Source organism: Homo sapiens, chromosome 1, assembly GCF_000001405.40.
Source record: "Homo sapiens chromosome 1, GRCh38.p14 Primary Assembly".
In the NCBI taxonomy this organism is placed as follows: domain Eukaryota; kingdom Metazoa; phylum Chordata; class Mammalia; order Primates; family Hominidae; genus Homo; species Homo sapiens.
In genome coordinates, this window is record NC_000001.11 from 193,299,476 (window position 1) to 193,318,583 (window position 19,108).

The 19,108-nt window shown below is 38.5% G+C and overlaps 1 long non-coding RNA gene across 1 annotated transcript in view; it reads left to right on the forward strand.

The window, feature by feature from the left end:
• The first annotated feature begins 5,269 nt into the window (after positions 1-5,269).
• LINC01031 (long intergenic non-protein coding RNA 1031) overlaps positions 5,270-19,108 on the forward strand; it is a 61,209-nt gene continuing 47,370 nt past the window's right edge. The window contains exon 1 of the long non-coding RNA NR_125789.1: positions 5,270-5,463. This is a non-coding gene — a long non-coding RNA (long intergenic non-protein coding RNA 1031). The remainder of the gene's footprint in view (positions 5,464-19,108) is intronic.

Below are 19,108 nucleotides of genomic sequence, written 5' to 3' on the forward strand. Positions count from 1 at the left end.
CAGTTTGTTCAGCTTTTTTTTTTTTTTTTCTTGTAAAGACAGAAGTGATGATTTCTAAGCTCTTTTCATGTTGGAGGTGAATTTGGAAGTCCTCTGTTACATTTTTAAAAACATAACATGCAAATAGTTATTTCCTGGTGGAGCCATTTCAGTTAAATAGCAGAGTATGAGAATTTTAAAAAGGCTGATTGGGGTAAAGTGATGCTGAGAAGATGTTACTCTTTCGTTGCATTAAAGAGTCTACTTAACGATCAGGAATGGTGGCTCACGCCTGTAATTCCAACACTTTGGGAGGCCGAGGTGGGTGGATCACAAGATCAAGAGATTGAGACCATCCTGGCCAACATGGTGAAACCCTATCTCTACTAAAAATACAAAAATTAGCTGGGCATGATGGCATGTGCCTATAGTCCCATCAACTCGGGAGACTGAGGCAGGAGAATCGCTTGAACCTGGGAGGTGGAGGTTGCAGTGAGCCGAGATTGCACTACTGCACTCCAGCCTGGGCGATAGAGTGAGATTCTGTCTCAAAAAAAAAAAAAAAAAAGAGTCTACTTAAAGTAGAAATAAAACTGAGACAGTCATGCCCATTTGTTTGCATATTTTGTATGACTGCTTGGAGTTTTGAAAGCAGAGTTCAGTAGTTGCAGCAGAGATCATATGGGCTGCAAAGCAAAAAACAATTTACTATCTTACCCTTTACAGAAAAAGTTCAGACCCCTAGTTTAAATGATAAAACCATGCTTTTTAAAGTATCAGACTAAGCACACAACCCACCTAAGCAATCTTCCCTAAGCAGTTCTTTTCAAATTTTTATGACATTATTTTTGTTATAACAATTACCAAAGGCATAGTTACCTATGTTTTACACTTTTCTCTTACCAAGCAAAGTTGTTATGTTGTGCTTTTTAAATTTCATTTTTTTCCCTCTTTCAATCCTTTCTACTTGAAAACTCATCTACTAAACTAGTTAAATAAAATACTAGAATTCGATGTCAAGCCCATAGCTCCTCTTAAATTTCTACTGACAATAAATTGCATTTGTGTTATGACATTCCTCATAATAGCCAAGTGTTAGAACAGCAGATAAAATATCAGAAGACATCAAATAAACAGCTTTATGTAGAAAAATCCCGAAGTATTCCTTTAAGTTCAGGAGGTGAATGGATATTCTAGATAATGAAGCAACATTTCAGAAAGGTGTTTTTTTTTTGTCTTTCTTCTAAAATAAGTACCCACTTTATGAGTTTAAATGATCCTATACAATTATCTTGAACAAAATATTTTATTTTAAAGGCTAGAAACTTTCCTCCACTTACACATTAATTTTATTGTTGCCATTTAATATGCCTGGAAATTTAAAATTAAGAATGTTAATACAATTATATCCTAAGAAATAATTGAGTTGTAATACATCAGCCTCTTCAAAAATTTTCTATCAAATGAGAATCAGTTGGAACAACTAAATGCTTAAGTGCTCTTGATTAATGTTTAAGAATCTCTGTGACTACATTTAAATATATGTGTATTATGAAAACATTATATGAAATCAGCTCTGATTTGAAATAAAGATTTGGGGAAGGGCACTTATGCCTCCACTTTCACCTTATATTATAGTATAACAAAAAGGTAGCTTTTTGGTGGAAAATGTAGACCATTAGAACCATGTGATAAAATTTAAACCCACTGATTATTTGCATGGCCTCCAAATTGAATTTGATTTAATTATAATATTCATGTATTTTGGAAGTGATTTAAAATCATTTTATATATGTACACGTATAATTATATATGTGTACATATATTATATATAAAATTATTTTTATATGTACACATCAGATATTCAACTATTTTAGTGCAGATAATTCTGGGTATTATATAAGTTAATGAGACATATTTTCTGCCATCAAGGAGCTTATAATCTTTGGAAAAAGATAAAGTATATATAAAAATAATCATTCCCTCATTCAACAAATATTTAGTCTGTTACTTGCTATATACTTGGCACTGTCTGTGACTGAGGCCTGAGGAAGGCAACAGTACACAACGTAATCCTGCCTTCGTGGTATGTAATATACAAAAACCTGAATAAAAAAAGTTGTAGGAGAAGAAACAAATATGCTAAGAAAAATTAAAGTAGAAAAAAATAAATTGTGGCTGATAGCGCAGGAGTCGGGGCTAGAAATACTTCATGGAAGATGAGGCCAATGAAATGGACCCCAAAGGATGGTGGAACTTAACACATAAACAAATGCCTTCCTGATGACTGAAAAATTTCACCTCTAGGTATATACTCTAAGAAAAGAAAGCATATATTCACAAAAAGACTCACAAGAATATTCATATTTGCTTTATCCATAGTAGCTCAAATCTGGGCACAATCCTAAGATTAATGAAGAAGGGAATAGGTAAGTAATTTGTGTTATGTCTACACAATAAAAGTAAATGAGCTACTGGTACATGCACTATAAACATGTGGAATGTTTATGGATGAATCTCATAAACGTGTTAAACAAGTCAGACACAAAAGAGTGCACACCGAATGATTTCATTTGTATGAAATTCTAGAACAGACAAAGCTGATCTACAGTGATAGAAATCAGAATATTTTTTACCTCAATGTATAGTGGTAAATTATCTGGAAAGGGGGCATGAGAGAAGTTTCTAGAGTGATGAAAATGTTCTATATCTTTATCTGGATGATAATTATATAGATGTGAATAGGTGTACATGTTTGCCAAAATTCATAGAGCATTTATGCATTTTACTACACGTAAGTTGCGCTTCAGTAAGATTCTCCTAGTATAAAAAAGAACAGCAAGTGGTCCATTTGGTTGGAGTTTTGGACCTATAACAACATAGAGATTTTAATATAAGAATAGAAACTGTAATAAGGAACATGAAAGCAATTATTTTTACTTGTTCCTGTTTTATATGAAATAAAGTAAGAGGCAATATAAACTGCTGAAAGGAGCAGAAGTTGAAAAGTTAAGCAGAGAGAAAAGTTAGGAAGAGCTGACTATGGAAGGGGATTATGACAAGCTGGTAAAATCAACTCTTTATTTCATTTTCTATGGTGTTTCAATGGGATTCATGTTAGTTTAAACAAGGCATGTAGACTGATGTGCTCAGTTGACTAGATCATGGGGAGAAATGAGTCCCATTGATGCAAAGACTTGACTTGAAGAAAAACAAACTAGCAGATAAATAAATCATGGACCATTTGACAAGAGCTCCTTGTGTTGTTGCTTAATGTTCTTCCTAGATATAAATCAAATTTCATTGCACTTGGTGACTTTTCTTCATTGATTATAGTGTGGAGTTGGTCTTATTTCTACTTACTGTGTTTTATTTTCTCATTTTTCAACTGGTTTCAGAGAAGAAAGTGGAGCAGAAATAAATGCGTTTACTCCTTCATTTTTAATGAGAAGTCTCCAGAAGTAATTTTTATATTAGCATTTTCTCAGTGCAGGGTGCAGAAGCATGTTGGAGCTACTTATGATATCAATTCATGCTAGTACTGCTTATGGCGAATGTTCCTGATGTGCCTTCTTTAAAATGTTAAGGAGACACCTGAAATGCCAAATTTGGAGCTAAGGAGACACCTGAAATGCCAAATTTGGAGCTAAGGAGACACCTGAAATGCCAAATTTGGAGCTGAATAGATCTGTGTGTCTGTATCAGTCTTCTGAGACTGCCCATAACAAAACACCATAGACTGGGTGGCTTAACCAGCAAACATTTATTTCTCACAGTTCTCAAGACTGGAAGACTGAGCTCGGGGTGCCAGCCTGGTTGTTTAGGTTCTCTTTGACTTACAGAGGGTCTTCTTTAAATTTTTATTTATTTATTTTTCTGTATCCTGCATAGTGAAGAGAGAGAGAAAGACACAGAGAGAGGACAAACTCTCTGGTCTCTTCCTGTAAGGGCACTAATCCCATCATGAGAAGTCCACCCTCATGACCTCATTGAAACCAAATTACCTCCGAAAGCCACCATCTCCAAATATCATCACATTAGAGATTAGGGCTTCAACATGTGAATTTTAGGGGGAGGCAAACATCTAGTCCATAACAGTAGTCTTCAGTACGTTTTCTTGGTTTCGACTTTCTCAGCTGTAAAATGAACATGTCCAATTGTCACCTGGAGGGTTGTTTTGAAAACTAGAAATGATATATGTAACGTGGCTATGAACAAGTATCAACTATAACTACTAATTGGTGAGTTTATTGAAGTCTTTTTATAACAATAAAGCTTGAATATTATACCTACACTCTATAGTCTTTCAATTTGATTTGGCTTTGGTGATTACTAAAATATATTTTATCTACTAAAGAGATTATCCTTTTTTTTGGCTAGAACATTAGTTATATATTCCAGAGCAAAGGTCAGCAAACTTTTTATGTAGAGGGCCAGATAATACATATGTTAAGGCTTTGAAGGCTATTCAGTCTCTGTGACATCTACTCAACAAAGTCATTGTAGTAGAAAAGCAGAGGACATGGCCATGTTCCAGTAAAACATCATTTACAAAAACAAGTAACAGCCCATATTTGGCCAGTGGGTTATATTTTGCTGACTCCGTGTTTCAGAAAATGGCAGTTTCAATATTACATGACACTTGTTACCTATTTGTCATTTACTTACCTCATGATTATCTCTAATGATTTCATGTTATATATGAAGTTGCTTACATTTTTGGCTAGTATTTGAAAGAATTTTTATAGCCTTAAAAGTGTTTATCAAAATGTCCCTTACAGATCATTTACCTAAATACCTCAAAGAAATGATAAACAGAAAAAATGCATTCATGACATAATAGAGATCAGCTCTTTCTATCCCAAGCTAAAACAATAATAACTTGTGAATCACTACTTAGTAAAAGTTGTATATCTGTGTAAAATGTTGTATAAATTTTCATGTATATAGGTCCTAAGGATTTTTCTCTTAGAGGGCTATTTTAAGGGAGGTTGCTTTTTAGTGGATGTTGGATTTCTAATTGTATTTGGATTAATCTGAATCCTGAAAATAAAAGATTGTGCCAGACTAGGTAAGGAGAATCCATGTACACAGGCCCCTCTTCAGTCCTGTCTGCCATCTCTAACTTATTGAACTTGAGAAATTCTAGCAGATATTTAATAGAGAATACATACTCAGCATGCTGTGTTGTAAGATAAGCAATCACTAAGAGATACATTTCAGTGATGGGGGGAAAATAACACAGACATACATAAATGTCTCTCTTAGACCATTCCTATGTCTTTCCTAACAATGATTCCATTATCAGATAATCTCTCAGATAGTGATGCCTATAATATTGTTTATAAAGACATGTCCTTGTCTGTTTTCCTTTCATCACAGGATAATGGAAGTAAACCAAGGAGGTATACGTGTGGGATTGTGTCCGGAATTGGTGGGTTCTTGGTCTCACTGACTTCAAGAATGAAGCCGCGGACCCTCGCGGTGAGTGTTACAGCTCTTAAGGTGGCGCGTCTGGAGTCTGTCCCTTCTGATGTTCAGATGTGTTCGGAGTTTCTTCCTTCTGGTGGGTTCGTGGTCTCGCTGGCTCACACGCAGCCCCGGTTCCCGCTCTCGCCTCTCCCTCCACACCTCCCTACAAGCTGAGGGAGCAGGCTCCAGCCTTGGCCAGCCCAGAAAGGGGCTCCCACAGTGCAGTGGTGGGCTGAAGGGCTCCTCCAATGCCGCCAAAGTGGGAGACCAGGCACAAGAGGTGCCGAGAGAAAGCGAGGGCTCTGAGGACTGCCAGCACGCTGTCACCTCTCAGGACTGGGTTTGGTAGATTGTCATTGACATTTTTTACATTCGTAGCTACAAAACCTAGTATTTGTTACTCTTGTTTCCTTTGTATAGATTGCCCAAGACTGTGGTATCAAACTGGACTTTAACAATATAATACGCCACTGATCTCTCAGGTTTATTTAGCTGAAGTGTCATTTGTATCCTTTAATATAAATATGCTCTTTGGATAGTTTTTTTTGTATTATCATAGTAATTACTACAGTGCTATGCACATAACAGTATTCTAATAAATACTTATAACTCAATAAATGCTTATAGATTACCCTTATAATCTATAGGGCTAGGCTACTAATTTATATAAGACCTAGTGCTAACATGCTTACTTGGTAGACTGTCATTTTTAGACTTTAACACATAACAGGCAGAAATCAACTATTGCATATAAAGTGCTTCCATATTTTTGTGCTCAAGCACACCTGTGAAAACAACCATAAGAATCTCCACAAACATTAATGTATTAGTCACAAGAATAGTTTTAGTGCACATTAAGCTTTCAAGACAAATGTAGTTTATTCCTATGTTTAGTAAGATGGAAATATCATCACTCAAATTGCACAGCATCAATTAGGAGATTTTTTTTTACTTAATTCTGATGTACAAGAAGATGTGGTTAGTGTTTTATAAGTGACGGTAGCTGAGAGAGTGCCTTTTCATCCTTGAGTTAGTATTAATGGAGTAAGGAAGAGCAGGCATAGGTACATGTATCTCCTAAACTGAGACAGTTCCTTCAGCAAGTATTTGCATGCCCTTTATGTGCTCGGCATTGCATTAATTGCTGGAAATTCAACTGGAAGAAAGACATAAAACCAAGCTCCTGGCCCTCTTGGAGCCCACCATCTTATAGGTGAGACAGTGGATGCCTGGGTTACTGGCCTCATACAGACATAGAGGAATAAAGATGGTATCTAGGAGAAAGTGACATTTTAAACTGGAACATAGATTTACAACTTCATAAAGAAAAAATCTGATGACATTGTCAGAAACTCACAATGAAAGCATAAATCAAGAGGGTTAGACCTGCTACAAAGAAATGCTGAGGGTTTCCTTTATGGCTGGGCACCTTGCTAGATGTACCATATCAGTTAGCTCATTTACTCTTCACAACAATGCTCTGCAGTTTGTCTGATTCTTCATATTTTATAGATGAGAAAACAGGCTGTGAGAGGTAGAGTAATTTGCTCTAGTAACAGCCAATAAGTGGGAAAGCCAGGACTGGAGGCAAATCTCTCTGTCCCCAGCTGTGGTCATGAGCAGCATGAAGTCAGGGGAGGCATCCAAAGAAATAAATGCCTCCGTCTCAGAACCAGTCTGTTGAGTTCAGAATTTTAAAAGGGCATGTATAAAATGAAACTAGGCAAGGTATCAAGCACAAATACAAAGAAACAGCATACACTTTTAAGTGTATCCTGACCTGGAAATCCCAAAAGAAAGGCTAACTCAACAGAATAAACTGGTTTATAGAAAAGGCCAGAATTGGCCAGGTGCAGTGGCTCACGCCTGTAATCTCAGCACTTTGGGAGGCCAAAGCAGGCAGATCACGAGGTCAAGAGATCGAGACCATCCGGCTTACGTGCTGAATCCCCGTCTCTACTAAAAATACAAAAATTAGCCGGGCATGGTGGCGCGTGACTGTAGTCCCAGCTACTCGGGAGGCTGAGGCAGGAGAATCGCTTGAACCTGGGAGGCGGAGGTTGGAATGAGCTGAGATCACACCACTACACTCCAGCCTGGGCAACAAAGCAAGACTCCATCTCAAAAAAAAAAAAAAAAAGAAAAGAAAAGGCCAGAATTCAGGTACCACTAGAATGTCATTCCTGTAGAATGTAAACTCCATGAAGGCAGGGATTTGTGACACTTTTGATTAGTGCTGTATTCACCTAGAATGGTGTCTGGCATTTAGACAGTTGTCACTACAACCTTAGTCTCAACACAATCACCAATTTCAATGAGTTGTCTCTTGATAACCTTACAGACAAGATGGAGAAATGTGATTCATCAACTAAAACCACTAAAATCAAAGAGATTTGATTAATGCATTGATATAAAAATGAATGGATTCTCTAGGTTTGTCCCACAGAAACCTCTTGGCACTATACTGATCAATTTTTTCACAAAATTCCTAGACAGTCTCTTCCTTGTAGTATAATTTAGTGTATAGAACACAGCTTGAAATGACAGGTGAAGAGTATTTGTAGGTTCTAAAAGTCTCTACAATCTCTAGTTGCTTATAATCATTTACTGCAATGGGATTAAAATATAGAAGGAATGCATGTAAAATATGTGGGCAACACACATCTTGGAAGGATGGACCAGCCAATTATTGTATTGGATGAATGAGGAATCAAAAATGTCACAATAGCCTAGCAGGTTGGTCTGAAATCACTGAAGATTTGTAAAAATATAAGATGGAGAAAAATGTGTTTTGACAGTATTTTATGTGAAATATTTTTGGGAACTAGTGACTGTAACTCATTAAAAGCCTATTATACGAACTGACTGTTCAAATTAATAAAATGTTTTTAATTAATAAAAAGCAAAAGAGATAGATCAATGTAGGTAAAAGACCCACTATACTAACTCCAGGAAGATGCTAGCCATGGTGGTGTGTCCCTGCCAAGGAGTTCTGCATCAAGAGGGGCATTTATGCAAAATGAGGATATAAACCTACCTGTAACGTGAATCTTACCTGATTAGGGCACTATTCTGTTCGACTCTCCCTGTCTAGAGTTTTGGCTTCTCCAACTTATTTTTTCCTTTTTTAACAATATACTTTTTACCTTTTATAGCAGTTTTACATTCACAGCATATCTGGCAGAAAGTATACAGAGTTTCCATATACCCTCTGTGCCCACACATGTACAACCTCCCCGACTACCAGCATCTCCCTCCACAGTGGTACATTTGTTATAACTGGCGAACTTGTATGGACACACTATTATCACCCAAAGTCCACGGTTTACATTAAAGCTCACTCTTAGTGTTGTACATTGTATGGGTTTTGAGAAATACGTAGTGACGTGTATCTACCATTATACTTTCATATAAGGTATTTTTGCTGCCCTAAAAACCCTCTGTGCTCTGCCTATTGATTTCTCCTTCTCACTAATCCCTGTTAGTCACTGATCTTTTGACTGTTTTTATGGTTTTGCCTCTTCCACAATCAATTCATTGCTCACACTGTGGCCAGAGTAATCTTTTTAAGATGATAACCTTCTCATTCACTCCCTTAACTCTCCATTGCTCAGAGTCATGTCTAAACCCTGTGCTGGTCTGGCAGTGAATGAGGCATTCAAGTTCTCTTTTTTCATGGAGACTAATCTTATCTCTCTCTCTCTCTGTGTGTGTGTGTGTGTGTGTAGGAGGAGGACCAGTCAATAAACAATGACACTAACAAATAATAAGATGAGCTCATGTGGCAGTAAGTACTACACAGATGATGAAAGTGTAATAGGATAGGGAGCAATTGGAGCACGGGCAGCTTTTCTTCCAAAGGTGGAAGATTTGGGCTGAGAGGTGAATTGCCAGCAGTTAGCCATGAGAAGCTCTTGGTGATGAGTCCTCCAGGCACAGGAAAGAACAAGCGCAAAGGCCCTGGGGAGACACTTTGGTTAGGTTTAGGGAACAGAAGGAGGCCAGTATTCTGGAGAGTGATCAGTAGGGGCTATGGTATAACCAACATTTTGAATAGCATCAATGGAAGAGAAAAAGAGAGATAGCATTTATTAAACCTTTTAATTTATGTTACTGCTTTTAATTTTGAAGATCCATTTGGCCCTATGTATCCATGGGTTCTGCATCTGTAGTTTCAACCAACTGTAGATTTAAAAATATTTGAAAAAGAAAAAAGGGATGGTTGTATTTGAACATGTACAGACTTTTTTTCTTGTCACGATTCCCCTAAATAATAGAGTACAAATAACTATTTACATAGCATTTACATTGTGTCAGACATGATAGGTAATTTAGCGATGATTTAAAATGTATGAGAGGAGGTGTGTAGGTTATATGCAAATACTATGCCATTTTATAACAGAGACTTGAGCATCTGCAGATTTTGGTGTCTGTTGGGATCCTGGAACCAATCTCACCATGGGTACTGAGGGATGACTGTATTTGAAATTATCCCTTTCTACCAGATGAAAACAAAAGAAAAGAAGATCATATAAATTAAATAACTTGCCATGGTTCTCACAATTAGTAGCAGTAGATGTGGGATCTGAACTCAATTATGTCTGATTTCAGACATACCCCCACCTTTATGTAATTTCCTTGGTAAAAGTATTAATGTTTATCTCTGCTGAAGAGCTTTCCTTGGGTATCTTTTATTCATGTTTATTTGCATAGCAGTTATTTCTTTTTATATTTGTGATATCCTTCCATTTTAGAAAGTAAACTACCAGGAGTCATGAACCCTGCCACTTGTACCCAACCCATCAGGAGTGCCAGTGAGTGATAAATAAAGGAATCAATGTGCCTCTCAGCAGAACCTACCTCTCTTGTGATAAGGGAGACTTTTAGGGCTTGTGAGATAATGGCTTACTATATGTAATCTTAGTTTATATTCTAGTTTTCCTTGATGATGTCAAAGAGTGTAGCAGTATATGTCAAACAGAGAGTCGTACATTTTAAAGAGATGTCTATGTTCTTTAGGTAAAATAACCCCTTTAAACTTTTTAAAATAAAACAATAAGGCATAAGATATACTGAGGTATGGTGGTTTAACTGTAAGATATACAGATATGGTGGTCTGTCAAATTATCACAATATAAAAGCACACACACACAAAGAGTGCCATGAAGACTGCCCTGCCTCATAAACTGCTGAGGTTGCCAGGAAATGATTAAAAAACAAAGGTGAACCTTCAGGTTGGAGTCTTCCATATTTCCCTTCCTAAAGATAACCCTCATTTCTTGCATTTGAATTTGTTAATGTTCAATGAAGTTCATAAAAATAACAATAATTAATAGAATAGTTTAGATATAGTGCCTGGACCATGCACTTTGGTCTTGAAAAAACCTCTCATGTTTCTCTTTTGTCAAATAAAGAATGCAGTGTTTCTTCATGACAGGCCGTAATCATGTAGGGTTGTTTTGTATTATGTTTAATTATGTATAGTCACTTGCTGCCTGAGCTGAGGTGCCCTGGCTTTGTGCAGAAGTATCAAGGTGGAAAGGGAAGGCAGAAATTTTGGCTGGGAAAATTAGCTGTGCAGCAATGAAACCAAACCGTTGAATTGAACATTTGGTGACTAGCTTGTGGACTGTATTATAGGAACATACAATGAAAGCAACCACAGTAAAAGTACTGTAGAAAAAATAGCAGGATAAAAAAAAAAGTAGTAAAGACAATCCAAGGACTATGAGGCGAAATGGCAAAATAGGAAACTGCCCAGGCAGCGTGGATATGTAAACAGGACAGAAAGAATAAAATGTGTAAGCCAGGTGCAAGAAGCCAATCTGGAGGGCAAAATAGCTAGGCAAACAGGTTAGAATTTACACAGGAAGACTGAGAACAAAGCTGAGAGTAGTCGAGAGGGAAGTGGAGAGATAGATTAAAGTCATGTCAACAGATAGGAAGTAATAGAAGCACTAGATCAAAGCAGCCTCCATGATGGAATAGCAGAGCAGGGAATGAAAAATAAGAGAAGCTTAGGTGTGTGACCAATTTCTGATTTCTTGTCTCTCAACTTGTTTTGTTCTTGGTAACAGATCTAACAATAAAGCCAAACATTTCAATGCTTCATTTAAAAATGTGATTCCAAAGAACAAGCTTCTAAAAACAAATGGAAGATTGTCTGTTTCAAAATAGGTCACCCTATGTATGGTCACTTTAGCAATAGCTTATAACCCATCTTGAATTTTCTGTGTTTTTGTTGTTGTTGTTGTTGTTGTTGTTATGTTCCCTCTGCCTTTAGCAAGGCCTTTTGCATTTTGTCAGATGGTGTATTGTGAGGCTGCAAAGTGCAGTAGACAACAGCCTGGCTTTTGATTTGAGTGCTATAGCTTTTGTTACTTAAAGTACTAAAGCATTATTAGATAGTCAGATTGATCGATCAAATGGTCTTAGAGTTGGGGAAGGGGGTGAAGTGGGAAGTGGTTCTGGTTCGTGCTTTAGAGCTGATTGCTCTCAGATAGTTATTTTCTCAAGGCTTTTTTGTTTTTTCTTTTTTTTTTTCTCTGTGGTAATAACCACAAAACATGCAATCTGTTGGTGTATCTCATTTTATTGCATTGCAGATTTTAAGTGTTCCTGTAGTCTCATATATAAATCACTTATACTTTTGTATGACATTTACTGTTTTTAAACTCAACATAAGTTGCTGCATGACAAGATAATTGACAAGCCTACGTTATACTGGCAAATGACTGCAATAGATACTGGCATCCTTTGCTCTGCCTTTCTCTTGCCTGCCTATTGCCAATCACTCAGCTGCTTTGACAGGGAAGTTCCACAAACAACAGCAGTAATCACCATTGTTCATATCCAGGAACAAACTTAGGGAGATTCTGATGCTTGTTCTTGAATCGGCCAAATGCCAATCTGATGAAAGCAACTTGGCATCTTATTTAATAAGGGAGAAATGATTGTGTGGGACAGATGGGGTTTTATTTCAGCAAGAATGGGTTTCATGCTGTTTTGTGTAGCTTAGGATTCATATGTTTGTCATGTCCAGGTGTGCTTTCCTTCTTGTTGTAACACATTTTCTTACACATTTCATCGTTCACAGAAGTGTGCCTTCACTTGCTCTCCAACTGTGGATCTGGATTCTCCACTGCCAGAAGTCATGGATGAAGGACCATCCTCAGGGGTACTAAAGAGATTTTTTTTTCTCCAAAGACTGCAACTTCAGTCTATAGACTCTCCCAATGTTCTCGCTCTCTCTCTTTTTTTCTTTCTTTTTTTTTTTAGATAGGGTCTCACTCTGTCAACTGGGTTGAAGTGCCGCAGCATCATCGTGGCTCCCTGCAGCCTCGACCTCCTGGGGCCAAGCAATCCTCCTACCTCAGCCTCCCAAGTAGCTGGAATTACAGGCACACACCACCATACCCAGCTAATTTTTGTAGCGATTTGGTGGTTTTGCCATGTTGCCCAGGCTGATCTTGAATGTCTGGGCTCAAGTGATCCACCCTCTTTGGCCTCCCAAAGTGCTGGCATTAAAGGCATGAGACACAGTGCCTGGTCCCAATATTTTTTCTTTTCCAGCTATAGCAGGTCAAAAAAATGTTATTTGAATAACCAGCTTTAATGAGACCTGTTATGCTGTGGGGGTGGGAGGTACAGTCTCAGGGTTATGATCAGGAAAATGTTTAACAATGAGATGGCAAACTGCTCTGCTGAAAGAGTTACGAGGGCTTTGTGGGTGGGGAGGCGGGTGCTAAACCGCCTGCTGGGAGAGGAGGAGGTCAGAGGAGAGCAGGAAGGAGGTCCCAACATGATGGACTGCACAGGAGAAAAGAGACCTGAAGGAAAACTACGTGGAAAGGTAGTCAAAATACTTGAACAATAGTTGATGCCAGGCATGGTGGCATGCACCTGTAGTCCCAGCTACTCAGGAGACTGAGACAAGAGAATCCCTTGAGCCCAGAAGTTCAAGTCCAGGCTGGCTAACATAGCAAGATTCTGTCTCTATTAAAAAAACCAAACCAAACCAAAAATGGAATAGGAGCTAATACTTGATTTTAAATTATTGGCTGTGATGTAATGTAAAGTCTTTCCATTTCTTGAAATTTTTAGTCCAAACCTGCTCTGTTTGTACCTTCGTGTTGGTGACATTTTGGGGAATGAAGGGATTGGGGTGGTGTCCAGCATGGGTGAAGTAGTATGCTGAAGGGGTGCCATGGGCTGCATGGCAAGATGTTCCAAAACTGGAATGAACTGAGGGAGTGCAGAAATTTGGAGCCAGATATCCCGAGGAGAAAAGTATGTGTTTCCCTGGGGAGACTGCAGGGCCGCTAGCTTTCCTACAGCAAGAGAAATGGGCATTCTGGTTTATTCATTTGAACTCGAAAGGCAAGTTGACCTCAGAAAACATCTCACCTTTCAGTTCCCCTCCTTGCCTCATTCTGTCTGTTGTCATTTACCTCATGTGATAGTCCAAGTGCTATTTAATTATTATTATAGTTCAAAGGCATGCAGGGATACAATATACATGAGCACTCGGTCAGAGTTCAGAAGGGAGGGCTCAGTGGCGTCAGATTTGAACAAGTGCAGGTGTGCCTCGTAATCTGGGGTGGGCAAAGTCTATTTATATAAACAACTGAGAAGCCCTCACGAGTGAGACGTCCTCCTCACAGAAGAGAACTGAGCGAAGCTAACTCAGGAACAGATCCTCAGAGGTGAGGGCAGAGGGGCACTTCGGAATGCAATCATACATTGTCCTCACCCTAGCCACGCATGAACGTCAATCCGGGACTCCAGGAAGAGAGAGGGATCTGTGAATAAACACATTATAAATTCCAATGGGTATTAGGGAACAATGATACCCACTGCTTGGGTAACTCAAAAAAGAATGTAGCATTTAAAGTTAGAGAAAGATAGTCTTATTGCCTTCAACTGAGAACTCTGTGAGGGCTCCAGGACGTCAGGACCAAGGCACTGACTGAAAGAGGAAACAGTCATCATAGTAACACTGACAGAGCCGATCTAGCGCCAGGCCCCAAGAACTTTCCATATAACTCATGTAATCGACAGGAAGCAATCCCAGGTGGTAAATATTATTGTAATCCCCATTTCACAATGAAAAAAGCAACCACACAGCTAGAAAGGCACACAGCATTTCCAACCCTGCCAGTCTAGGACAGAGCCCGAGGTCTTAGACCCTGTGCTATTCTCCCTTCTTGGCATCACACTTGGTGGGAATGACAGTGTGATCAGCACCAAACAAGGTTTTGTGGTGAAGGGTCAGGGCAGGAAGGGAAGCCTAGAAAACCAGGATTCATTTATTCATTCTCTGTGAGCACACATATGACATTGCTTGGACTTCTACAGAGGGGCTGTGTAGGATCTGTGCTTTGTCGTACAGGAGACAGAGGTTACATAGATAGTCATTTAACAAACACTGATTGAGTGCACAGCATTTGTCTTAGTCTTGCGGAGCTTCAGTTATAAATCATGCAAGGGGCCAGGTGCGGTGGCTCATGCCTGTAATCCCAGTACTTTGGGAGGCCAAGGCTGGCGGATCACCTGAGGTCAGGAGTTCGAGACCAGCCTGACCAAAATGGAGAAACCCCATCTCTACTAAAAATTCAAAAAATTAGCCGGGTATGGTGGCGCATGCCTGCAATCCCAGATACTCAGGGAGCTGAGGCAGGAGTATCCCTTGAACCCGGAAGGTGGAGGTTCTGGTGAGCCGAGATCGCGCCATTGCACTGCAGCCTGGGCAACAAGAGTGAGACTCCACCTCAAAAAATAAAGTAAAATGAAATAAAATAAAATAAAATAAATCATGCAAGGACTCTACCCTTAGGAACTTCGGGGTAAAGACAAAGAGATATGACATTTGCATAGATGATTATATACCCAGATATTGGACTCTTGTAAGTTTCACATAAAAGCTGTGGTCAATCCAGATTGAGAGAGACTGCATTTGCCAGGGATTGGTTGGGTGGCAGGTAGGGGATGGGTAAAGAAGGAATTAGAAAGGGTGTTTCTTCACCATGAGAACCTTATTAAAAAAAAAGAAAGAAAAAAAAAAGAGAAAGGGTGTTTCACCTGGGGATCAAAAGAATAGTCTCATGCTATTCACTTGGGACATGTGTGATTTTTTTCTGCAACCCCTACGTAACTCATAAACACATTCTTTTCCAACACCTATGTGACCATGAGTTGCAAGGTCGAAGCCCAAAGCACCCATTACTCTGGGTAAACATCTCCCAGGTTTGCTTAAACTGTCTTTTTCCCCTTGATGCAAGATTCATACCCACAGAATGTACTCTTCTTGTCCATCTTATCCTTAGGCCATCTTCTGAGAATAGAAACGGAGCATTTGCTTTCTGAACACATTTGTGTGTCCTTCTTCCTTCTCTTCCCTGACCAACTGGAGCACCTATAAGAGGTAGCCTACAGCTTATATAAAGCTCTGTTAAATGCCAGAAGGTAAGGCAGTCTCCCTTTCAGCTGATCCTCCTTGCTTAAAGTAACCAATAACATTTTCCCTCTTCTTACCTATTTTCTTGGTAGTCTTACTGCAGGAATGTGGCACATGGCTAAATAATTCAGTGCTTTCTTTGAAGCATTTGCTACACTCCACCTCTTGCCATCTGCAGGACCCTCCCTTCTCCAAGCCCCAGACATCATTATTTTCCTGTTCCACCCACATCTTAGAGGCTGAAACCTCTCTTTCAGCTCTTGTTGGTCCTGGAAGGAGAAGGATTGCTTCTCCATTTTAAAGCCCTCTTTGATGTAAGTTAAAGCTATTTTCTTGGTGTCAGTTGGCCCTCTGGGTTCTATTCCCCTGTTATCTCTGATTAGCCTTTCTTTTGGTTTTGAGGCTGTGGACAAGTGGCTTATTTTCCCAAGTGGAGAACAGTTCTTGTGTGTCTACTACTCTCTCCACTCTTCCTCCTTCCCTCTCCCTTTAACGTCCTTTTCATCTTGCTCTCAATCTTAAAATGATTCTAGTAGGATGTATTCTATTTTAATCAATAAGCATTTTGAGTCCTGGACAACTATTCTGGACTGACTCATCCTGTGTTCTGTCAAGCGTCATCTTAAAACTCTTAATTTAACTAAAAATAATTTTGAGTTATCCAAAATTTTGATCTTCTTGTCCTTTTGCATTCTAAAACAACTGACCTGAAGTTTCTGTTTCTCCATGATTGGCTGCAGTGAAAGTGTTTGACTCCAGGGAACCTCATCTGCTTTCCTCAAGAACAAGAATTCAGTAAAGCCCAATAGATATTTGTTGAATAAATTAATTAAAATCAAGCTAAGGATGGATAGTTAGTGGCATAAAAATATAATTAGATTTTTTAAACAGCAGTTTACAAACATAGATGCATAGCAAGACCTATTTTTTAAAAGTTTCTACATGCACAAATGGAAAACAAAACTGTAAATATATAAGACAAAAATTTTAACAGTGACTATCTGATTGAGGGAATTATGATCAACTTTTATTTTCTTCACGGCTATTATATTGTCTAGATCTTCCATATGGATGTATTACTTTGGTAAAAGGAAGAAAAGATTTTATACAAGCTGTGACATTCAAACATGCCTAAACCCCCACATTTATATTTTATCTCATCTTTCTTCATCTTCCCCTGTTTAATTCACAACTACTTTTTAGAGAAGGGTGTTCTTATAATGTCACAATTCAAATATATCACAGTAAAAGGGCATTTACCATTTCCCAAAAGACTTTTTGGGTCACCTATTCCAATGGGGGAGGGGAATAAAATAGAGGGATTAATGTGATTTTAGAGGGTTAGAAACTCATCTAGGGATTAGGGAACTGACCTACAAAGTGTATGCCTTTGTAAAAACCATGGACCTTTTTCCCCCTATTGAAATGATATTCGTTTAAAGCACTTACACATTTATTGAGCTTTCACTGAGTACCAGGAACTCTTCTGATGTCTGGTTCCTCCTTGCCCTCCTGAAACTTATATTTCAGCAGAGCAGACAGAATAAACAAGTACATGGTAATAAGTGTTATGAAGAAAATAAAGGGAGAGGGATCTCTTAGTGGGGTCATCAGGAAGAACCTCAGTCAGTGGGTGATGTTTCACTGGTGACCCAAATGGAATGAAAGAACACATCACTTGAGGATGTCAGGGAGGACTATTTCAGAAAGAGGGATATTGCTAGTGCAAAGGTCCTGAGTCACGAATGAGCTCGGCCTACCTAAGAACAGCAGAAAGGCTGGTGTGAGAAAGACCAGTGAACAGTGGTGGAATGATAGAAGGCTAGAGAGGGAAGCAGGATAGAGCTAGCTGATGCAGCACCTGATAGGTCATGCTAAGGAGTTCAGTTTTGTTCCTAAATGTGGTGGGTAGCAACAGAATGGCTTTACACAAAGCAGTGACAAATAGACTTACACCTTAAAAAGAAAAAATAGATTAGCCTGACTATCTCACCTCTTACCTTCCTCCTAACTTTCAAAAGTTCCCAGATTCATAATAGGGTAGGAATCAGCCAAAGAAATCCTGCCATTCTTTGAAGATTCTATCTATTAAACTCAGCTACAGGAAAATTTAAATTTTGTCAACCTTATTTAGGGAATTTCTTATACCGAGGAAAGCTAGTTTGTGATGAAATCTAGGCTCTGTCTGAGTAATTTCAGAAATAGAATACATTTTTTTCCCTGAGTGGTATGTGATGTTCATTGTATGTAAAAGTGTCTTAGAGGATACTCTATGGGATTTTTCCCCACCGAAGAGAAGAAAGTTAAGATTCAGTATCATCCTAAAGTGGAAAAGCAGATCAGTTTGAGGGCAATTAGTATTTAAAAACTGTACTACAAATTTGGATAAGAAAGTAGTCTCTATTTTCATAAATTCATGTGGTAGGTTCCGGGTTCTGAGAAAGGCAGTACATAGATTTAAGGGAAGCTGGATTCTAGGAGCTATACTGTTATTATTATTTAAAATTTCAACTTTTATTTTAGATACAGGAGGTACATGTGCAGGTTTGTTACAGGGGTATATTGCACCCAGGTAGCGAGCATAGTATCCAATAGGTAATTTTTCAACCTATGTCCCCATCCTTAACAGCTTGCAGTGTCTATTGTTCCCATGTTTATGTCTAGGTGTGCTCAATGCTTAGCTCCCACTTATGAATGAGAATATGCAGTATTTGGATTTCAGTTCCTGCATTAATTCACTTAAGACTGTGGCCTCCACCTCCATCCACGTTGCTGCAAAGTTAATGATTTTATTCCTTTTATGGCTGCATAGTATTCCATTGTGTATATGTACCACATTTTATTTATTCAGTCTACCATTGATGAGCACCTAGGTTGATACCATGTCTTTGCTATTATAAATAGCATAGCAATGAACATACATGTCTTTTTGGTAGAATGATCTATTTTCCTTTGAGTATATACCCAATAATGGGATTGCTGGGTGGTAACTCTGTTTTAAATTCTTTGGGAAATCTCTAAACTGCATTCCACAGTGGCTGAAATCATTTTCATTTCTGCCAACAGTGTACAAGTGTTCCCTTTTCTCCACAGCCTCAGCATCATCTGTTGTTTTTTGACTTTTTAGTAATAACCATTTGGACTGATGTGAGGTAGTAGCTCATTGTGGTTTTGATTTGCATTTCTCTGATGACTAGTGAT